At 43.0% G+C, this 24,348-nt stretch overlaps 1 protein-coding gene across 1 annotated transcript in view, besides 2 other annotated features; it reads right to left on the bottom strand.

Annotated features, from left to right (window-relative positions):
* Window positions 1-24,348, bottom strand: part of CLVS1 (clavesin 1) — a 536,782-nt gene that overhangs the window by 461,089 nt on the left and 51,345 nt on the right. The window lies entirely within an intron of this gene.
* Window positions 16,760-16,809: a silencer, noted in NCBI's record as "silent region_19233". NCBI's record gives its function as "represses an Ori minimal core promoter by ATAC-STARR-seq in GM12878 lymphoblastoid cells {active_cell/tissue: GM12878}" and the evidence as "EXISTENCE:reporter gene assay evidence [ECO:0000049][PMID:35858748]".
* Window positions 21,928-23,127: an enhancer, noted in NCBI's record as "CDK7 strongly-dependent group 2 enhancer chr8:61929973-61931172 (GRCh37/hg19 assembly coordinates)". NCBI's record gives its function as "activates an origin of replication core promoter dependent on BRD2, BRD4, P300/CBP, MED14 and CDK7 cofactors, with strong dependence on CDK7, by STARR-seq in HCT116 cells {active_cell/tissue: HCT116}" and the evidence as "EXISTENCE:reporter gene assay evidence [ECO:0000049][PMID:35650434]".

The following is a 24,348-nucleotide window of genomic DNA, read 5'->3' as shown; positions in this document are numbered from 1 at the left end:
ACACCAGTCAGAATGGCTATTACTAAAATGATAAAAAATAACAGAGGCTGGCAATACTGCAAAGAAAAGGAAAATGCTTATAACACTGTTTGTGCAGATGTAAATTAGTTCAGCCACTGTGGAAAGCAGTTTGGAGATTTCTCAAAGAACTAAAAACAGAACTACCATTCAACCCAGTAATCCCATTACTGGGTATATGCCCAAAGGAAAATAAATTGTTCTACACATGCATGAATATGTTCATCACAGCACTATTCACAATTGCAAAGATATGCAATCAATCCAGGTGCACATCAATGGTGAACTGAATAAAGAAAACGTGGTACATATACACTATGGAATACTATGCAGACATTAAAAAGAATGAAATTATGTCCTTTGCAGAAATATGGATGTAGCTGGAGGTCATGATGCTAAGCAAATCAATGTAGGAATGGAAAACCAAGTACTGCATGTTCTCACTTATAAGTGGGAGCTAAACATTGGGTACATATGGACACAAAAAGGGGACCAGCTGACACTGAGGACTACTAGAAGGAGTGAGGCGGAGAGGGTCAAGGGCTGAAAAACCACCTATCCGATATTATGTTCATTACCTGAGTGATGGGATCATTTGTACCCGAAACCTCAGGATCATGCAATATGCTCATGTAACAAACCTGTACATGTACCCCCTGAATCTAAAATAAAAGTCAAAATTAGGCTGGGCTCAGTGGTTCATGCCTGTAATCTCAGTACTTTGGGAGGCCCAGGTGAGAGGATGGCTTCAGCCCAGGAATTCAAAATCAGCCTGGGCAACATAGGGGGACCCTGTCTCCACAAAAAATAAAAAATTAGACAGGCGTGGTGGTGCATGCCTGTGGTTCCAGCTACTCAGGAGGCTGAGGCAGGAGGATCACTTGAGCAGGAGGTGGAGGCTGCAGTGAGCTGTGATCACGCCGCTGCACTCCAGCCTGGGTGACAGACCAAGACCCTGCCTCTGAAAAAAAAAAGTTCAAATTATTAAAAAGAAAAAAAGAAATTAAGTCACTTGATTCAACAATTAACCGGTGGAAACCCTTGCCATGTACTGAGCCTTCAGAAAGAAACCACCATGCTACCTGAAGGAGCCTGTGTGCTCTGGACAGGTAGTGAGCCACAGAAGGCCCCATAGCTTGACTGTACAGTGTGTTTCAAATTGCGGGGCTCAACCCATTAGTGAATCATGGCACTTTAGTAGGTTTGGGCTAGCATTTTTAAAAATGAAATAGAACATAATTAAAGAGAATATTATAGATTAGAAGATACTAGAATGCGTCTCTTGGAGTAAGTAATAAATGTTGTTTTGTGAAAATTTGTTAATTCAGATGAAGTAAAATATATTTCTTATTGTCCTAGTCCTCAAAAAGGACTGCATATAACACATATAAAAATACACTAACAACAATAAACAAAATAGGCCAGCCTCAGACCAAGAGGCAAAGTCGGCACTGAGTTAGCATTATGTGAGAAAAAATTGAATGACTAAAACAAAAGTGTGTTCCTTGGCTATCTGAGACTAATATAAATATTTTCATATCCTAAGGGATCATATTAATAAAAAAAAATGTGGGTGACATTACATCAGCAACAGTAACAGCAAAGAGCTTAACCTATTTAAGTTTTCAGTGAAATAGGTTCATCCTATCTCAGAGACATCTAGTACAGACAGGTGTTCGTGAGTGTCCGGAGTCACTTCATATCACAAAAGGACCTTCGGTTCACATGCGCTGAGCACTCATTTCTCTATAAAGTGGGTCCGAGGAAATGGCTTTGATGAACAGGCCTGAGAAGACACATGCACGTTCACAATGAGGACCGGGGAGGCTGACATGGGCTTGAGATAGAAGTTTCCAAAACTGATGTCATTTTTTGTTCTCACTTTACATCCTTGTAGTTTGCTATTTGTGTTGGCTTCCTGGAAATCCAGAATCTTTTCCTTAGCAATCCATTCCACAATATAAAATTGCCTGACTTAAGACTTATTCCATTCTGGGACAAATAAATACATATTTGGGACACAGTGAGATATCACATATATATATACGTGTATATATATATATGTCATATATATATATATATATACAAACGACAGGAGGAAATGTGTAAGCTTTAGAGCACATTTCACCAAGGAAGGGCTCTGTCTGAGTGATGCTCCATATTGAAACAGCACCCTCCTTCCTCTCATATGGGAAACACCAGCAAAGATTTTTTGTTATGAACTCCCTGGGGACCCAGACCCTAAAACAGGACTGGGTTGGGAGCCACGGAAGCAGAAGGATATTCATGCTTCTATCCACTCCTGAGATGCTTCAGTTCCAAGGTTACAAAGCATGTGTCAATAGCAGGCAACTTTATGCTTGATTCATAAACCAAGACTGAGCTGCAGGAATGTCAGGAGCTCAAGTCACACTCAGCAACTAGGAGCACAGTCAGAACTGATCTACAGAGTGGGGGACAGTCCAGGTGTGTTACCCAGAACTCTCCTGTGCTGTGCTCTCACCCAGAAAGTTCTTACCTCCCACTCTGCACTGCCCTGGTTTCTTCTCATCCTCAGGCCTCAGCACAAAGATCCCCTTGTGAGAAAGCCCCTCCCTGACCACCCTGCCAGAGCAAGGTCACCCAGCCAGAGCTCTCTCAGTGCGTCCTGCTGTTTCCTTCACAGCACTGGCTGCCATGAATAATGATAAATGCCAACTGGTGTGTTTGCCTGTTTCCTATTTGCCTCCCTGGTGACTGAAGTTCTCTGACAGCTCTGGGGTTTGCCCTGGACACCAGCACCTGGCACTCGGAGATAGCGAGTGTTTGTTGAAGTAGTAAAGGGTGTCTCTATAAAATTGAAATCTTGTTACCTACTGTTAAGCAAGTGTTCTGCTATCAAATTTGAAGAGATTGTCATTATCAAAATCCTAAGTGCTTACGTAGACCCACATTCATGGCAGCACTATTCACAATAGCTGAATGGTGGAAACAACACGCATGTCCATCAATGGATGAATGGATCTTTAAAATGTGGCACATAAATACAAGGGGATATTATGCGGCCTTAAAATGGAAGGAAATCCAGTCACTTCCTGCAACATGGCTGAACCTTGAGGACATTATGCTAAGCAAAATAAGCCAGTCACAAATGATGAATAATGTATGATTCCACTGATTCCAGGTACCTGGAGCGGTCAAATTGATAAAGATAGAAAGTAAGAATGGCAGTCCCCAGGAGCTGTGGGGAGGAGGGAGTGAGGAGTTGTTGTTTAATGGGTACAGAGATTCAGTACCCATTAATTGTGCAAAAATGTAAGTGGACTTTAGACCATTGAGCTGAGCTGAACACTTAAAATGGTTAAGATGGTAAATTTCATGTCTATTTTGACACAATTTTTACAATAAAATCTAATAATATTAAGTGTTAATTACCACGCAAATGAATGTTTTTAGTTTCATGGCAGTACCTGTATAAACACTGATGTAGAAATACTGAAAATGTGAGTCACATACTAAATGAAAGTTTTGTATTCTAGCTGTAATTTAGTGGAGCTTTCATATTTCCTCTTTTCTGGTCAGAGAGGCCCATCATGTCACCCCACATCTCACCCACGATGGGTGTTTAGAAATACTCCTCGAATGGATGGCTGGAGAACACTCAAGAAGAAAGGCAGAATGATAAGCTGTGTTAAATTCTTGTATCTTGTACTTCTGAAAGAAGAGTTTCACTCCCAAAGATTAAAAAGTCATATCATAATCTTAATGGCAAACGTTAGCAAGGTGGCTACTACCATTGCCCACATTTTACAGGAAAGATAATTGAGACATAGAGGGATCCGTGTCTTGCTTAAAAGCACATAGCTAGAACTTGTCAGCACAGGCATGCAAACCAGATCTCATGTTCTTAACCAATAAACTCTACCAGTTCTCTGGAAGGAAGGAGGGAGAGGGAAGAGGAGGGGGAGGAGAGGACAATAAGCTTCAAGTTCAGCTTCTTAAAATTTAAAAGTCAAGCCATAGTCAACGATTTGGCCCCCTTTAATGCACACCTTTTAATACAAACAACTCAGTGGTGGGCCTCCGATCTTCCTCAATCCAAGTCTGAGTGCTACCAAGTGAAGTCACCTCTTGTTTCCCAGGTTGCTGCCCCACCTGCAGCTGCCACAGAGCCTGGCCAGAGGTCTCACAAGGCACAGTGCCTCACTCACCCTTCCTGTGACAGAGCATAACTTCCCTTAACACTCCACAGTTTCCAGAAGGCTGCATTGTTCTCGAATCCCATTTTTGAGTTTCAGAAGACCTCATTTCCTCTGGCTATTCTTTCTCTTTCCTTGGTAGGTAGGGGAACGAAATCAACTCTCCCATTCTCCTTTGCTCTAGTTCACTGTCTCCTTTACATTTAAAGTGGTAAGACAACCTACAATGCCAATACAAATGCTTTAATGCTACAGGAGCAAAGCCAGAATGTAAGTGTGGTGTAGATTGTGGTGGAGGCCGTGGTGGCAGGAGTGGGAAATGAGGAGGGAAGTGGAGAAAGAAGCTATAGGAAAGAAAGTCTGTGGAGGCTGTGCCTGAACAGTATCAACCTACCCAGAGCAAAATGCATCAGGTGCACGCAAAAGTGTCATTGATTTGAAATTTATTCAGATAAATATGTTTTTATTATGGATGTCAAGTTAAACCAGTTTGTATGTCAGGATAATGTTTAGAAACAGCAATTTGAAGAGGAAAAAGAAAGGATTTGAGGAGGGGAAGATTTACATTCACTAGCACTTTACTCCCTTTAAGACATAACGTATCATCATTGTTGAGGTGTCTGCCTGGTCTTTCTTCTTTAAACAAGTCTGAAGAAGACTTCCTGTGCCTAAGAGAAATGGTACTTGTGTTTCTCTGGGCAGACACCTGCAGCTTTGTGCTGGTGTTTAGATTACACTAAACAGAGCTTCCTTTTTCCCCTCTCTGAATCCTGGCCATGCCCGGACAATGCAGACCAGCTCTCTGTAACGGTGAGACACGTCAGACGCCCGGGGCCGGCCACAAGAACCCAGCCCATTGCACATCTACTCTTTAGGATCAGATTCAAATTGCTGGCAATCTCTCTCGGCCTTTGAGGCTGCAAAATCCTAAAGTTACTCTTTGGTGTCTTCTCATCATTTTACCAGTCGACTTTGTGAAAACAAAAACAAAAAGAAAATAACATAGAACATCAGACTGGAAAATGATTTTTGAGCTCTCAGGAATGATGTAGCTTTAGTGAATGAGAAATTTCAGACTCTCCCCTCAAACCCTCCCCATAATTGTATTGAGGTCAGGGTAGAAAACTAGAAGCTGCAGATCTCAAAAAAAAAAAAAAGAAAAAAGAAAAGAAAAGAAAAGAAAGAAAAATGAAAGAGCAGCAATCTCAAGTTTTATTTTGCTTGATACAATTTGCACCTCTATTTTGAACCCTAAACACAAATTTCAGGATATCAAAAAACATATGATAAGCTAATTTTTGAATAATACAGATATTCAAGTAATATACTCAATGTTTTTCTTCACCCTCAAGGACGCTTTTCTGATGAAGTATTGATTAAACTTAAAGGATTAGGCCCCAGTTGTGAATCTGAGAAAGGAGACTGTATCTATGATCCAGAACATCTGGAAACACGGGAAAGTTGTTTATTATAGTTTGATCTGATGTATCCTGATTTTCTGGATCCCTGTAATCTCTCTCTGTTTTCAAGTCCTCTGCTTCCTTCTTGTAAACACTGTATTGGCATTCCCTTGGAAAATACTGGATACCATTTTCACCGCCATTGCAAGTAAAATAAAATCTCACTCAGAGTTTTACTCAAAGTTGTTCCTGGCTTTTGCAATAGTGCTGAAGTGGAAGTTCACCAAATTACATAAGCAAGATCCTGAGAGAATTGGTAAAACTTCTGCATGATTTCATTTACACGTGGAATGTAAAGCAATCGAATGCATACAAGCAGAGAGGGGAATGGTGATTACAGAGGCTCGGGGAGGGATGGGGAGTTGTTGGTCAAATGGTACAAAGTTTCAGCTAGACAAAAGAAATGAGTTTTTTGAGATATATTGCACAGCATGGCAACTATTGTTAATAATATACTGTATATTTCAAAATAGTTAAAACAGTAAATTTCAAAGTTTGCACCACAAAAAAAAAATGATAAGTATTTGAGGTGATGGACATGTTAATTAGCTTGATTTAATCATTCTACACTGTATACATATATTATAACATTACATTTTCATTAACATATACAATTATAATTTGTCAATTAAAAATAAATAAATAAATAAATGAAATGAAATAGGTAAAACTTCTTAACCTGTTAGTTGGTGGCTCATGGGTGTCCAAGTGTTGACAGTCACATCCAGTTTCTCAAGCTGTAGAAAAGGACGTGCTGGCTTCTGAGGCCTGGAGCTGCGGGCCCAGGGTGAAAATTGAGGTGACCCTGGCCCCTAGCCTCTCCCCTTGAACTTGTGGATGGATCTGGTCCTGGCCTCTCCCGCTGAACTTGTGGATGATCAAGCAGATCTGGCAGAGCCAATGCTGCCAGAAGAGCTGGCAAAGGACTTTTCTCAATGTCATGACCAAGCCGGAGTCTCTAAGACCATGGTTATTCACAGGGTGTTATTGTCCATTCCAGAGTTTAAACATCAGTCTCTCTTGTTTCTCAATATAAATGTCATATGTTCTAAGACTTGACTCATCTGTCAGGGTTGGTGCAGCCCTGACTTGCAGCAGGAAACATAGACTCTCCTTCAGCAGCCTGAGAGAGCTCCTTGCTTGAGCAGTGGCCAGGGACACAGACCCCTCTAAAGGCAGAAGTGCCCCCCCAGCCAGGTGGTTACATCTGAGCTGTTCTGCCCAAAAGCTCCCAGGCTGTTCCAGACCATGGCCAGTCGAGGGCAATTCCCCGGGAGTGGCACAAGTCCGTGGAGGCAGGAGAGTGAGAAAGGGCCCACCCACACTCCCCCCTGACTGAGGGAGACAGGTTTCCCCCCTCACCCAGTAAGAGATTCCGTGTGAGGGGCTGTTTCTCTGGACCTTTGCCCTGTTCCTCCCCAGCCCTGTGACTTGCTCTGGATAATGGGATGACAGCGGACTTCATGCAAGCAAAGGACTTGTGACTGCTTGCTTTTCTGCATTTCTGTCATCCTTGGGAGAAGAACAAGCCAGGCTGCCCTGCTACCCCAGGAGGAGGGGAAAGACACCAGGCCAGAACCATTTCCAGCTGGAGTGCAGGTCCTTAGACTTAGAAGAGCTAAGCAGTGGCTATTGGTTTTTTGGGGTTTTGTTGTTGTTGTTGTTTTGTTTTGAGACACAGATGTGCACCACCACACTTGGCTACATCTTTCTTTCTTTCTTTTTCTTTCTTTCTTTCTTTCTTTCTTTCTTTCTTTCCTTTCTTCCTTCCTTCTTTCTTTCTATCTTTCTTTCTTTCCTTCCTTCCTTCCTTCTTTCTTTCTATCTTTCTTTCTTTTTCTTTCTTTCTTTCTTTCTTTCTTTCTTTCTTTCTTTCTTTCTTTCTTTCTTTCCTTCCTTCCTTCCTTCCTTCCTTCCTTCCTTGTTTCTTTTGACAGGGTCTCACTATGTTGTCCAAGCTGGTCTCAAACTCCTGGTCTCAAACTCTAGAGTTTTGAGAAATTTTACAGATAGTATTTTGAAGCATAGCTTGGCAATACTTCCTATTGGATTTTCCCATGGGGGCTCATTTTTACCAGCTTCATTGCAACTCTACCTATGAATAGAAGAAATTTTGAAGCCAGAAAGCACTGGAAGAAGAAATAAATATTATTTTACCTATTACCTGCTCTTCCTCTGTGGTTTCCCATACCTGAATCTCATGTGTTGGATGTTTAAATGGAAGAGGCGCTTCACAGAGAGAGAAGCAGTCCTCTGGCTTCATTCAAGGTCCTGTTTTTCTTTATAGCTTAGAGGCCTGGATATTCCCTGAAGCCCCCAAGGCCTAACTGGTAATAGAGGTCTCCTGTCGATGGCCATCAGCTCCCTGGCCAGCACCATTTTAGGGCTGGGCTGCTTTACATGCATTACTCACATAGGAGGATAGGCATTGCTTCCAAAAAGGACTCTGACACACAGAGATTATCAAAGGCAAGGCAGCAAAACCATAGCGAAGTGGCAGTTTGTTAGCGTGTCCATTCTCTGCCTTGTAGCTTAGACTGGGTGTGAGAAAGCAGAAGGAGGTGCTCCAATCATGAAGACCACAGGGGCAGGAATATTTTAACACAAGACTCAGCTCTGAAGCCCCAGGCCCCTTCCTGCTCCTGTCACCCCTGGTGCCCTGCCTGTCCCCAGGGCACAGTCTCTCCTCTCAGGATAGAAGCAGCTCTTTCCAAGAGTAGAGTTTGGTTATCGTTGGTGCTGCTACACTTCCCAGGCCCAGGCTCTACCCGCTGGGCCAGCTATTTCTGGCTGGGTTGTACAACCTGTTCCCACACTGCCATCTAACACTCAATATCTCTGAACTTACATGAAGATCCTGTTTCTTTGTCTGAAAACCAAAACTGCTACCATTATATTGCCCCCATATTTTATCTTATTTTTTCCCTTGAGTCCTTTTATCCAATCCAGAAAATTCTCAGTTCTCTATCTTCTTTATTGTAAAATCTTAATGTTGTAACTTCTCCCCCACCCCGCCCCATTTTTCCCTTTTATTTAAAACATATGCCAATTTGTGTTTTCTTGCTTCCGCTATATTTTGCTGCTCCTGAAACCCCACATGGTCCACAGAGGACATCGTTGGTAAAAGCCACTCATCGCCTTGTCCCCATTCTGTATTGAATTATTATTTATGCCACTCACGCTACTACACTTCAAGTTTTTCGATGGCCAGGAACTTTGCAATTTGTTTATTTCCTCTGCCGTGCAGTTCTGTGTTCATTTACTACTCCAAACAGAGAATAATGAAGGAATAACAATGTGAACCCCAAAGGAATAAAACGATGCTTTTCTTAAAAGGCACAGAGGAAAATGGAGGCATTGTAAATTACTCTGGTGCTTTTCACTTTTACAGTGCCACAGAAATTGCCCTTTTAGCATTTTGCTCTGGTTGAGTCTTGGTGTGGAGACAGACAGAGCTGGAGGTGGGGAACGGAGGCAGGTTAGCTCTTGGGTGGGGAACGGTTCGCTGCCGGGGAAGATGGCACCAGGAAGCCCATACGAAGGGCTCTGCAAGCACCACCCTGCAGGTGGGTTTCCTGATGACCTGGCACCATGCCAGGTGTTGTGCTGAGGGTGGCAGAGCAGGTGTGTGTCCTCTACTTCCCTGAGACTCTTCTGTCCAAATCCCCCTTTCCCAAGCCTTTTGTCTTCAGCCTGGAGATAGGCTGCCCAGGCACCAGGCCTGGCATTCTCTTCAGTTCTGTTCTTCTTGCAGAATCTTCCTTTCCTTCCTCTCACCAAAATTCTTTTCCATCAACTATAATAGCTTCAATGTACTCAGTTGCCCAGAGCTTCATAGACTCAGAGCTAATATATTCTGGAGGTTCAATAAATTGTCTCACTTAATCCTCACAACAACACTGCACTGAAATAGGTATTTTTATTATCTTCATTTTACAAATGAGGAAAGCGAAGCCCTAAGAGAGTTCATAACTCATCCAAATTTACAAACTCAGCTGTGATTTGGTCCCAGGTGGCCTGACTCCCAAACCTACACCTTTCTACTGTTCTGCCTGTCTCCCTCGTGGTGGCTGACCTCAGCAAAGTATTTAGGAATATAAGGAATTTTAGGTAGTAAAAAAGTCATCCTTTTAGGCAGGGATTTTCTCAGCACCTTGGAAACCCTGATGCCTGGCACATAATATGGGCTCAATAAATACTGGTTGGATGAATAAATGACCACAGCCACCTGTCCACAGCCACCTTCTCGGCACAAACTGCATTGCTGGGCAGATTCCTGTCCCAGTGTTACAATGTCACAATCATCTATTAATAGAAGCCTGAAGGAGACTGAGCTTTGCCCAGTATTAACCAGTGCTACACTGCAGGGTCTGAACACAGAGTGTGTAGAATATGCCCATGTGTGCAAAGATGCAGTCGCCTTTATTTCCCTATAACCAAACAATTATCTCTCTAGCCCCCATCTCCATTAATGTTGCAAAATGTAGTCTTGCCAGTTCATAACTTCATCGATTCTAGATTTGTTTTTCAAACATTTTAGGATAGATTCAGCTGATTCAGGATTTGCGCCCCCCCACCCCGCTGCCACCTTCTCTTTCCCTTCTCTCCTGCAGTGATCTAAGTTCCATGGAGAGAAACAGTTCTTCTGTTTAACACTAAAATTATTTCTGAATTAAATGTTTTAAAGCCCTCTTCCTACTTCTATTGAGTGTTCTGGTCTGATTCCCAGAGCCTTACCAGTGAGGCTCGTGTGGTCAACACATGGCCATCCCCACCAGGGTGTGCCTAGTCCACTGGCTGCCAAATGGCAGCATCAGCCCACAGGGTGCAGAGGCCGGCTGGGCCAGAGCTTCACGGAGGCCTCCAGTGGCGCCTGGGACTCTTGCAGGGATGCCTGAGATGCAACACACCTCGACTTTTCTACATAAGGGATGGCTGTAGGGCGGCCTTTCCTCCCAGAAAACTGTCACAGATCCTGACGCAACGTGTAGGAGCTATAAAATCACCCTGATGGAGCCAAGCAGGAACTAAAGCCACCCAAGACCTGCATCCTTGTTGTGTACCTCCCATTTTAGTTTAGGGAACTAATACGCCCCAATGTTTCTGTGACTTAACACAATTGAAATTTGTTTCTCCTAGGGGAGGGATAGCATTAGGAGAAATACCTAACGTAGACCTTGGGTTGATGGGTGCAGCAAACCACCATGACACTTGTATACCTATGTAACAAACTGCACTTTCTGCACATGTACCCCATAACTTAAATATAATAAAAAAATTAATAAAAAAAAAAAGAAATTTGTTTCTCAGGTGGAAAGCAGCCCATCGCCTGGGCTCCCTGTTAGCAGGTCCCATTCGTCTCGAGGTTCTACCATCCCTGGGCAGAAAGGGGTTAAGGAAGCAGAAAAGGAAGGCCTGATTCTCAAACCCTCGATGAGAAGGGGCAGCCTCTCTCCCACTCACCTGCTCACATCCCAGAAGCTGCATCTCTGCCCCGCCTCCCTCTGTTCTTCTCCCACAGTTGACCCAGTTTTCTGGGATGGCTGCAGGGAACTCGCAGTAAACCAGACTTTGGCAGGAGACCATGCCTCACCGACACCAGGTGGAACCTCACGGCTGCCGGAAAGCCAAGTGATGGTGACAAATAAACCTGGGTTAGAGTCCTCAACCCTCCTCTCACATGCTAGGTAACCTTGCACTTGTTACTCAACTTGTGTGGACTGTTTGCAAAATAGAGTTACCATCTCCCTCAGGGAGTTGTATGAAGACACACATATGACATTCAGCACAACATTTGGCTTGTGTTACTTGCTTAATAAACATTAGCTATTATGTTTATTGTTGTCTCCTAGTCAGATTGCTTAGAAACAAGAACCCTAGGCTGGGGATTTACAGATGTGTGTTCTTGGGGAAGTCCCTTGACTTCTCTGCATTCCAGCACAAACCTATCCAAAATGAGAGAGTTTTACAAAATGCCCTTGTAGGCCAGAGGAAGCTCCAGCAGACAGTAAGAATATGGCAGCAGACAGCAAGGATAAGAAGATCCACCAAAGGAGTTGGCTCTCTGTGCTCCAAGCAGAACCTCAGCTGGAGAATCTTTGCAAGTTCTTTGTTCACCGAGTCCTAGTGGTTTGCTTGGGATCATCAGCATTTCATTGGTAACAGTTTGCTAAGGAGACTGTGGCAACAACCCATCCCCATAGAAGGGCCCAGTGACCACCATAGCCACTGTCAGCTTATCTGAGCCAGCACAGCCAACATGGCCCTTCCCATACCCAACCAGAAGGAAACTCACATTGAAAGGCCCAGGAACCTACCCAATTAAGTTTGAGGTGACCTGACACCTCAGCAGTGGCCAGGGCATTTGCTACTACTCTCAATACTTTAATGCCTAGAATTCTAAATGTCCTGTCGTGGCTAATTTATTGGGTATTCATTGTAATTATCTCACTTGTAATGAATTCATTTGGTATTAATTTCGATGTCACATGTACAGTACTTTCATAAGAATTACCGTATGATTCAGCATTAATTAATCTATCTTTAAAGTGAAATGTTAACAATCAATTCATATTACTCGGATCCTTAAACCACTGGGAGAGCCTTTATTATAATCGTTATTATTTATGAACGGTGCAAGATATTTTCTAATATGTGCATTCACAGATTCCTCCCGACATCCCCTTCCACTATCTATACATCACTGCTGCCTTGCCAAATAGATTTGTCTAATCAATACCTCAGTGTCCTTATCTTTAAAGATGTCACCTTGTGTTTGCAGCTGTTAGCCCATCATTACACGTAGATTTCTGAGCTGCTTCTGAAGCAGGGAAATGTATCATATTTTTACACCACATTCATCTCAAGGACCATTCAGATAGGAAAAACATCGGGATCTTTTCTATTAAACCATGAAAATATTCTCTTGATTGCTTAATGCACCTTATCACAGAGTGGTCGATTCACCAATAAACAAAATCATGTTTCTAAGTGAGAACATTAGAATGAGATTACCTTGAGGAAAATGATATTCTTAAATCATGTGACATCATGTGAGTATATTTAGTATATCGCCTCAAATATCCTGATGACAAGTGAAAAATGAAAAATAATGCAGATGTTTGTCATCTTCTAACCAGACACTGGATATTGAAAATACACAGCCCATCAGTTCTCTGATGCAAATGGGGAGGGGGAGAGACAAAACACACCAATGCTAGAGAATAACACTCAGTAAGGAAGCATGAAGTGGTAAATCATTGTAGTGCTGACACTTCTTGAACTTGACCTTAAAGACTTCAAGAGCAAAAGAGAGTTATTTTTAAATGGGTCAGGCCATGAACTTAATTTATGCAGGGTCTTGAGATATGAACCCCAAGCAAAGATGACATACATATATAATTTTGAATTAGACAGCTCATTTTATTAATTTCCTTAATTCCACTCCAATTTTTGACATTGTCTAGCCCTCCAGTATTTAATTCCCAAATCCCCAGAGCAAATGCCTTAGGTCCACTGAATTCATTTTTATTCCATAAAGGTGGGGTGTATATATGTATAAAACACAATATAACACAGGGCGAGAATAGTTTATCATAAAATACAGGATCCATTTTAATGCACATTCTTGTTGGCTTTTATCAGGAAGACAGTGTGAGCCTCCTCAAGATACTGTTTGTCTCACTCTTGGGGGATGACAGTATGATGTATATGATCCATCATGTTCATTTCCTTCATGCATTCTTCGCCCTATTGGGATAGGCATGAGATGATGGTAATCATATGAAAACTCAACATGATTGTTTATTGCTGAAGGTTTACTTAAGTCTGTCACCATGACCTGTATCCATTAGTAATCCTGCAGGTTCTTAAAGGGACACTGCATTGATGGAAACAGCTGCAACGATGGAAAGACTAATCACGCAAGTTTCATAAAGAGGATTTGTTGATGAGGCCTCAATTTTCAAGTGCACAAGCAGAAAGCTCTCACCTGAGCCTTCTGTCTGGGTGGCATAGACAGGTGTGGTAATACCTCTGGAGTTAAATTTGCAGGTCCACAGAGTTTAACTCTGTTCCAAATCATGTTAAGGAGTTGCAAAAGAGGTGCACAAAACCCTATGTTCTTCAAGTGTTAGCTTCTCACCAGGAAAGTGCTTTTTGTGTCCAGGTACATGAAGCTAAATAGAAGACAAGTTATTTCTATGATTAGCCATGGTTTACACATGGCAGTAGCGCTCCACAGACTTCAGTACTACCTTATGGTTTGCGGAGGATTCAGCAGCTAAGTTGGGCAGGGCCAGGCTGGAATCTTCCAAGGGCCTCGTTTAATGCACCATCAAGGAATTCCCAAAGCACACCACATCTCCCTGCCTGCAGGCTCTTCTAAATAATGGAAGTTATTTTGGAATATCAAAATATATGGATGACTGAATTAATTCCCTCACCTCAGCTAGGGCTGGGGTTGCCATAACAAAGCGTCACAGACTGTGTGACTTAAACAGCAGACATTTATTGTCTCACAGTTCTGAAGGCTGGAAGTCCAAAATCAAGGTGTAGGCAAGGTTGGTTCCTCTTGAGAACTGTGAGAGAAAGACCATTCCAGGCCTCTCTCCTTGGCTTTAGATGGCTGTCTGCTTTCTGTGTCTTCTCATGAAGAGGGTCTTCCCTCTGCTCGTGTCTGTATCTAAATTTCCTCCTCTTATAAGAACACTCACCATATTGGATAAAGCCCATCCTAATAACCTTATTCTAACTTAAGTACCTCTATAAAGACCCTGTCTCCAAACACAGTCTCATTCTGAGGTACTGGGCATTAGAACTTCAACATGTGAATTGGAGGGGTAGCAGGGGGAGGGAAGGGGGGTGGGACATTCAGCCTGGAACATCTTCCTGGAGGTGTTTTGGTTTCAGATAGCACAATCTTAGGGTGATTTTGTTTCTGTTTTTCTCCATAAACAAGTAAGACAAACAGATTAAGGATTAAGTTTGGGAATGCTAGCTCTTGCCTGTGTTTCTTGGCCAACTCCTTTAAACCACCAAACAAATTATTGTATTAGGCTAGAGCTAGAAAGTCATTGTTCTAAGAAAGACAGACCAGGATGAGGTGGGTAACTCCAGGACAGGCACTGGATCAGCACGTTGGCAGGGAGGCTTGCAAACCCTGACAAGAATGCAGGTTGATCCACACTATGACAAATCTATAACAAAAGTGACCCTGATGATAAAAATGCAAAAACAACATGAACAACAAGGCCAGGATATTTCGAAGGGTTTGCCTTCAGTTAACAAGTGAAGAAAAGATGATTTCACCTCGAACTTCAACAGCCTAGCAAAAGAGTCTCTGATCTTTCCTCACACCACTGAACAACAAGGAGGAAGGCTCTCTGGAGGTCCTTTAAGAATTGGATTTTCTTTGGTAAATGCAGTCTCAGAAAAAAGACCTTCTAGCATGATTCACTCTGTTCCTCTTAAGTCAAATGGAGGATGTTACTTAGTTTTGACTCTTGCTTGAAGAGTAGAATGATCTTAAAATCTCCAGAGATTTGTAACCTAACACATGCAAAATAAATATAAATTGTGTGATTTTGCTTCCAGTCTGGCAACTTTTTTCTTACATTTCTTTTCTGCACAAACATCTGAAGAAAATGCCTGGAAACTATAGAGTGATGGTATAAGGTAGAGAGAGAGGTTTACTTTTAAGGAAAGGGAAGGAGAACTCCTTTTGAAAAATGCTTTAACGCCTGGGCATGGTGGCTCATGCCTGTAATCCCAGCACTTGGAGGCCGAGGCAGGAGTATCACCTGAGGTCAGGAGTTCAAGACCAGCTTGGCAAACATGGTGAAACCCCATCTCCACTAAAAATACAAAAAATTAGCCGGGCGTGGTGGCACATACCTCTAATCCCAGCTACTCAGGAGGATGAGGCAAGAGAATTGCTTGAACCCGGGAAGCAGAGGTTGCAGTGAGCAGAGATCACGCCACTGCACTGCAGCCTGGGTGACAGCAAGACTCTGTCTAAAAAAAAAAAAGAAAGAAAAAAAAGAAAAGAAAAACAGAAAGAAAAATGCATTAACAACACTAAATCATGGGACTCAGTGAAGTTAGTTTAATTTCTAAGAGAAAGTTGTACCATCTCATTTGAACTTATTAATGGCAGAGTGGACTTATCACCACAGTCCTCCTGGGAAAGCAAAAAAAGACCATACTAAACTCAGCAAAAAGCTTAAAACACCATCTGTTGCTATGTTGAAACACTTGACTGGGGGGAGAGAGAGAGGAGACAGCTGATCAGTTGGAAGGCACTTTCAGACACACATATCCATGCTGAGCACTCTGTTTAGAAGCTTAGAGAAGAAAAGGAATTTCTTGGATGCCCTGTTGGGATGCTCGGATTATGATATTACTTGAAAATGTGAGCAAACTTCTAAGTGTCACACTCATGGAACTTTACTGAAGCAAGATAGATCAAACAAAGGTGCCAGAGAGGTTTGAATTAGGGAATAGTTTAACTTTGCTTTGAAGGGATTTCCTTCCTTCAACACACACTGCCATTGTCTGATGGTTGTTTATTTGCTAAACTACAATCAAATTAAGCGTAAATGGAAACCTGCCACTAAGAAAACCAATGGCTTGCCATTGCCCCCACCACACCAGAATTCAACTCCTTTTCAGAAATGTTAAAGGGAAAAGATTTCCCTGGAAGTAAAATACTTTTTAAAAACATAACACATGACAAAATTTATCATTGTCTTTCCCTGGGGGACTTTTTGGCATCAGCAGCTACTGTGCCTAAACATCCAGTGTCCTCGTCTAACAGGAATGTGCGAGAGCAGAGAAAGGCTTTGAGTCATGCAGGAATGGCTTCCCAGATACGCCGGGACACAGCAGTTTAATTGGATGTCTGGGCTTTTATAAAGAAGAACGGGAGGCGCGGAACACCACCACCACACGTGTCAGCTTTGCAGCAGAAGAAAAACTCCTCCAGCCTCAGCAGCCAGTCTCTCCGGCTTCTCCCTGCGACTTCAGGCGGACCCCCAGTGACCGAGACCAAAGAAGCTGTGAGCACAGCGGCTGAGAGCTCTGTCCTGTCTCTGATGTTTTCAGGGCCAGCGCGCTGGGCCGTCCTGGCTCCCTGGGCCTCTCCCCCACCCTGGGGCCGGCGCGCAGCCTCCCGGCGGCCGTGCAGAAAACAGCCGGTAGATGGCGCTCCGAGCTGCGACTCACCGGGCCCGCCACGAGCGCTGCGGATGGCGCAGGCGAGGATCCTGATTCATAAAAAACATAAATCCTACTTGATGAACAATAATAATAAAGGAAATTGACTACTGGGCACCATAGAGATGAATTTTTAAAGCCCCGAAATCAAGTTATTTGATATTATTTAATTTAACTTACTAAATTTGAATAACTGTGGGATGTAATGGTGCATGGCAGGGCATTTAGGTTTTATCGCTTCTAAATGTTTCTCTTTAGGGCGATTGCACGCCGCTGCATGGTCGCCAGAGAACTCTGTCCCCGTCTCCAAGCTGTGTAAACAAATTGAGGACAGAATAATTACACATTGGGAGAAAGGCAGGGAAAATCTATTGAGGGCACAGAGAGCCCAGCTACAAAATGTCCCCTCTTTCAGCTAATAAACTACCTCTAAAGTACGCAAACATCCATGTTAAAGAATTTGTTAATATAAGCACAGCAACCAAGCCTATGCTAAGCACTTTCCAGGTGCTTCTTGTAGTAGTATCCTCATCTCCTAGTAAAACAAATACTATCTATAATATTTATTTTCCTCCCTAAATTTTTTAACTGATGAAAGTACATTTTTAGTAGCTTCCAAACTGACAAATTCGGGCGCTGCAACATTTAGAAACTTTGCTCATCCCTTGATCAAAGAAAAATTTTCTGCAAGCAGCTATAAAAAGTCCTTTTATTAAAATGCAGCCGTCACATTCTCCTCAGTGTAGCTCCGGCGCACACATTATGTGTTTGCACAGATGCGTGTGTATATTTGCATAAACAGAGGGAGGTGCACACACACGTATTAATTCAGATATCGAGGCGTGCGTATACATATACGGGTATATATATGCTGTCTGTGTACCACTCTCTATTGTTTTCAGCGTAACTGATTTTGGCACCAGCTCTTTAGCACTTTGGAAGGGCCTTCATTAGCACTGGGATAGTATCCAAAAAGAATCCAGAAAAATCAACACATGGCTGCTCTTGTTCTCACGATAAATGACAGCTTTCCTGGAAAACAACAACAGTCAAGAAGCAAAACAAAAACCAAAAAGCAACAAGAGTAGCAATAACATGAATAGAGGAAGTCAGACATCACTAACTTGGATTTTTTTAAATGTATTTATTTATTCAATTTTTTACAACTGTCTTCTTTGCCACTAAGCTTTCAGGTACTTTCACACAATTAAAAATATAAATAACAAAGGTCTATTAGGAACCTAGGGAAAAAACCACAATCATGCAGGCTTGTGTCTCCTTGTCGATACAAATATGCTAGAGATCAGTGTGGCATAAGCTGCTCGTTAAACTATACCAGCTCCCAAAATGAAGCAATCATCTACAACTCCTTGGAATCAGACTTCTGAAAAGAAGAGCTTTTCTTGGAAAACAGAATCTCCCTAATTACCTGAAAGTCTCCTCTTGAAACCATTAGTAGGAAGTCTTGGGTTATTCAGATGCCGTGAGGATGTGCAGGGAAATCGGTCATGTCTAAACTCGTAAAAAACCCAGTAGCATCCAGTGTGTGTGCGTGTGAATGTGCTCTGACACTCATGCCTTAAGAGGTGAATAATAAATCACACTTTGAAGAAAAGCAGTAACTAAACTATAGAAGACTTTGACTTAAAGGGTTAATGTCTAACACAGGAACAGAAAACAAAATACCACATGTTCTCACTTATAAGTGGCATCTAAGCATTGGGTACACATGGCCATAAAGATGGGAACAGTAGACACTGGGGACTACTGGGGGTAGGGGCCAGTAAGAAAGAGGGGAAAGGGCTGAAAAACTATAATAACTATTGGATACTATACTCACTACTTGGGTGACAGGGTTATTCATAACTCAAAACTCAGTATCATGCGATATACCCATGTAACAAACCTATACATGTACCCCCTGAATCTAAAATAAAAGGTAAAATTATTTTTAAAATAACATAAAATAGAAAAATTAATTCCTTTGCACTTCAGCTGTCAAAACAACCATGGAGGCCGGGTGCGCTCATGCGGTAATCCCAGCACTTTGGGAGGCGAAGGCAGGTGGATCACCTGAGGTCAAGAGTTCGAGACCACCCTGGTCAACATGGTGAAACCCCGTCTCTACTAAAAATACAAAAAAAAAAAAAAAATTAGCCAGTCATGGTAGTGTGTGCCTGTAGTCACAGCTACATGGGAGGCTGAGGCAAGGGAATCGCTTGAACCCGGGAGGTGGAGGTTGCAGTAAACTGAGATCGCGCCATTGCACTCCAGCCTGGGCGACAGGGCGGGACTCCATCTCAAAAACAAACAAACAAACAAACAAAACACAACCGTGGAAATCTAACGTATGTGGCCCTTTAAGGCTAGCAGCTCTGCCCAGGAGACCAGCCATCCAAGGAGAAAACCCCACCGAATCTCATGAAAAGAGAAGTTATTGTGCCCGACTCCTCCATTGGCCCTTGGCCTTCTCTTTCCTCAGTTTCTCAGTCAGATTTTCTCATTTAGAGCTGTTTATATTGCAGGCTCTTGAAAGTTCTCAAGAGAAGTGGGAAAAGGAACAGGAAAGGAGTGAAATGATTTTTTTAAAGGGGGGAAGCAAGTGTGTAGAATTTCTAGAGACATGCTTCAGAACAGGAAAAAGTGTGTGCAGCATGGGCTAGGAGAGCCTTTATAGAGAGCCCTCCATCATGCTGGTGGGGTAGGTGTTAAGGAGAAGATAGTTGGACATGGGTAGGTGGCAACAGAAGCATGTGAAAGAGCCAAATCCTAAACTTCAGATATCCTAGAGTGTGGCTCTGGAGTAATTCAAAATACAGGAACAGTCTGAGATTATTGATAACAGCAGAGAGGAAGCAAAGCATCTCTAAATTCATTCATCCATTGCACAAGTAGATATGAAGTGCCTTTGATGTGACAGACACCATGTTAAGCATGAGGCATGCAAAAGTAAGCAAGCTATGTCTTCTCAATGCCTTCCATGCTGAGAAACATGCTGCCATGTTGTCCAACTTCAGACTGAATCAATTCACAAAACCTTCTAACTCAGGAGGCAGGGGTTAAAAACCTGGTAAATCTGTGGGCTGAGAGGAAGTTGAGCCCCAAAGCTGAGTATTCCTAAAGTGCCACGTGCTTGGCCAGCACCTTAAACTGTCTTGGAGTTGGCTGCATGCTAAATTCACACCCTCCCTCTCAGGGGCTAAGCTGTTATTCCAAACTATAGCTGAAGTATCTGTTGACAACAGTTCAACCTTAGAAGTGGCTCAATTTCAGCCTATTGCTGATCATTATTATGAATAAGCTAACACAATCTCATGTTTGACAGAATTGTCTCTCTCTCCAATAAGGGCCAGAAAGCCGACTGAAATGTTTCCAAAAAGGGAAGAGATTCCAAGTAGAACTGAGGCTACTTCTCAAAAGCCTATTCAATAATCCTTCTCTCTTTCGTTTCCCCCAAAATGAGAATAGAAGCAGACTGGTGTTTGGCAGGGAGACCAATGTCAACACTCTCTATATTTACTTATTTATTGGCAGTTTGGAAGGCAGCCACCATTTATGGTCCTTCATTCCCAAATAGAGGCAGTGATGGTTCCTGCCAACAACGTCTCTAAGCCACCTGACTGGCCTCTCTCTGCACAAGCCAAGAGGAGAATGAGTCCAGGCCATTCATTGTTGGCCACCATGTTTATAATACAGCTAACGTGGCCTCTACTCTAAATGAACCCAACTGCAGATGACAGTGGGCTGCAAGCTCCCTGAAATTGTTTAGCTCTCACAGAAGCAAGGCTTGGAAAGGCAGAATCTGACTGTATCCATACCCAACCACATCATCCCACTCCAGTTAAGCTTGTATTGGTGTTCTGCTTGGAAGGTACAATTGCAGGATGATGTAAAGACCTTAGAGAGGGTCCCAAAAGGTTCCATGTCTACATGGATGATGATATGTTTGGGAAAATTGTCCCTCTGAGAAAAGGCCAAATAAATGGAGATTTGCTTTAGTGGAGCAAAGAGCAAAAGCTAAGATGAGGATATGGGAGCTTAAGACATTCTAGAATGATAATGGGAGAGTGAGACTCTCTCTTAATGAGAGTAAACAGCTGGTCTCAACTTCCAGCAAAGCTAGAATAAGATAAATTAGAACATTCTAGAGCTGATAGGACCTTAGTGATTGTTGAGTTTGACCCTTTCATTTGACACAGGATGAAGTTTATTTTTTTTAGGAAAATATTCTGGATGAGAAGTAGGTCTCCTGAGTCTAAATGGAGTGTGAGATTCTCACAAGTGGCTGACACCAGGCCAGGAGGATCAGTTTAGACATCATTAGAATCACAAACATTACCAAAGGTGTGCGTGCCTCAGGTTAAGTTCTAGACTGAGGTAAGTGAGTTCGTTCAGCCAGGAACACAGCATACTCCTTGCCAGGAGTTGAGAGATCTCCTGAATCTTTACGATGGGAGAAGACGACTCTCCATGGACTGCCTACTCTCATGCTTTAGAAGCCCAGCTGACTTTTAAAATAGGGCACAGGCCAAGTTCAGTCAATCTAAGGCATAGGAGAGTACAGTTTTACTAAATGCTAGAAGGAGCCTAGTTATGAAATCCAGAGAGGCTTCTAGAGAAGCAGCTCAGCCGCAGCTTCCCAGGTTGTCCATGCTTATAGGCAATTTCACGGGAAGCAGGTTGTGGACACACCATGTAAGTCACTAAAGCTCAGTTGGCCTCCACCACGGCTGCAGCATGAAATTTCCTGTTTGCTCCACAACCTCTGAATTCAGAGCAAAATTGCCACCAGCTGTGCTCTTGACTAACTTTCTTTCTTCTATTGCAAGTGAGGAGCAAAACATTGTAGACAATAACATGAATGGAGGTAAATGTAGAAAACCCCTTTTCCACTGAGTTAGTCAAGGCTGCCAAAGTCAAAGTCAACCAAGCCACTTGCTGAGATGCCGCCTGATCTCAAAGATGATCCTCCATAGCCCAGTAGATGGAATGATGAGACTAGACTGGAGCTCCAGAAAACGTACAATCAAGATATAATTGTGTCTATAGGAGAAATGTGACCTGAAATGTTTCAGCAGTTTATACATTAATCAGTGTTACACAAATGAGGTAAGTGGCATGATTTCAGTTCCTGAAACACTTTGCCCCCTTTTCACTCTATCTCTTTGCACACACTGTTCCCTCTGCCATCCCCAACCCATCTCCCATCTCCACTGGGTCAACTTCTGCTCATCTTTCAAAACTCAAAGCAAATGTCATTTTCTTAGTGAAGTCTTCCAATGTTCCCAAAGCAGAATTAGGCACTCCCTCCCTGTAATTCTAGATATAAAATATTAGATTTGTGTATATTTGAAACTTATCACATTAAATTATAAGCGACAGTAAGGAGGAGAGAAAATAACACGAAATTTGGAGTCATAGAAAAGAGACCCCATATCCCAACTCCTACATTTCCAAGCTCTTGTCCAAGAGCAAATTACTCACCCCTCCTGACTCAGTAAAATTCCATTCATCAAATAGGGGTGATAATGCATACGTTAGAAAATTCTTGCCAATGATGTGAGATTGACGAATAAAGCTCCCACACTCTGCCTGACTCACAGTCAATAACCAGTCCTCTCCCCTTCCTTTTTTCATCTTCCCTCCAAAGGCAAAAACAGGTTTTTCATCTTTCTGCCCTCAACATTGAGCATAAAACATTGAACACAGTAGGGATTTAATACATGCAACCATGCAGTGAAGTTGATCACTAAGGACGTATTGGGGCTAGATTTTAATTCATAGAATGTCAGGCCCAGAAAGAGCCCTAAACTGATGGCATTCAACCAGGTGATCAATACAGAGGAAGTTCAGAGGCAGTCAGTAGTGGGGCCCAGAGGAGCCCCCCCAGCCCTGATCTCAGACCAGGGTTCCTCACCCTCTCTCACAGCCAGTGCATGCTCACCTGCTTCTAAAGGTTGCAAACTGGAGCCTGAATGGCCTTTCTGGGGATACTTTTCAGCTGGCCTCTTTGTCCCTGGACCTGGAGGCCAGCACCAGTCCTTGTGGCAGCTTTCCTATGAATCCTGTCCAGCTATTAGTGGTTAAGGGCAATTTCTCATCATCTACACTAATACGGCTTCATTCAAATTGGAAATGATAGATGATTAACAGGCACGAGAAAACATGTTGTGCTACATTCAGAAAGGATGCAAATGACAAAAACATGTTGCCTTCTGGACAGGCAGGGAAATGGCGTATAGCAGAACGCACCCGGCTTCTTGCACCTCCGTGTCTGGCTAGACGGTTTTATGGCATTTAGCAGCACTGTGCGAAGGCACCCACGGCATACCATAATTCTCACAAAACAGCGTTTTCATGTGCTAATGGCAACCGAATCAGAGACACATGGATTTAATTTCCTTCAAAATACCCACGGGTATAAAAATCAATGCAGGAAAGCCATTTGGCTAACTCTATTTGGGGCTTTTCTGAGCCCAAAAATTGTGAGAAATTGTTGGAAATGGCTGCTGAGCCCAAAAATCCCACCAGGCTCGGCTCTCCCCCAGTGCAGCCCTGGCCTAATGTGATGCGAAGCCCCGGCTGTCTTTTTGGAGAGAAGCAGGTGCTTGCTGTGTGGTACCTTACCGGCTGCCATCTCTACAGATTTCCTGCTTTGTGCTATTAGTTCATTTGCTCAGCCGCTCCCACCACATTGCCGTAAGGGAGATCTCATTTTGGCAGCAGATCGGGATCCCTGCCTGAAAGTTGATAGAGGTTGAGCTATTTGCAGAAATAATGCTTTCCAGACGTACTAAACAGTACCCCTCTTTCCAGATGGAGTGGCATTAGTGTTGCTTCCAGCCATTTCCTCACCTTCTGGTATACTTGTCAGTTCTCCCATATGCACCACAAGCCTTCTGTATTCTGGGGAGTCTCGGAAAACTGCTCAGACCCTCAGCTTCTCACCACTTGCATGCACAAATGCAAGCACACACACATTTACGCAGCTTCCACTCTTATGTATGCACATGCAGTTTTCTTCCCCCACCCCCTGGGAGTCCACTTAGATTTTGCCAGAGTGATAATCACTGAAAGTGATAGTTTAGCTGCTCAGGGAATTAGACAGGCATGAATACATGAGACATCAGAGTAAAGTCCCTAGGTTTGGTGGATGTTCCCACTGTCAGTAGTCATCAGTGACATTGTCATTTACATTGTCTTTTGGTGGCCTCTAGTCATAATGTCAGACAGAGCCCTTGGTGAAGGGGCTGCTCCCCCACCCAAGATAAACCTCTTAAGAGTGGGATTAAGCCCGTTTGTGTTATGACCCATAAGACACTTTGGGTCGTGGGGCCTCCACAGCATCACATCCATGTGCTACAGGTTGAGTACCCCTTACCCAAAATGCTTGAGACCAGAAGTACTTTGCATTTCTGGGTTTTGGGATTTTGGAATACTTGCACATACAGAATGAGATATCTTGGGGATGAGACCCA

This window comes from Homo sapiens, chromosome 8 (genome assembly GCF_000001405.40).
Source record: "Homo sapiens chromosome 8, GRCh38.p14 Primary Assembly".
NCBI lineage: Eukaryota > Metazoa > Chordata > Mammalia > Primates > Hominidae > Homo > Homo sapiens.
The sequence above is the reverse complement of the archived record's forward strand: the minus strand, read 5'-3'. Positions and strand labels throughout refer to the sequence as shown.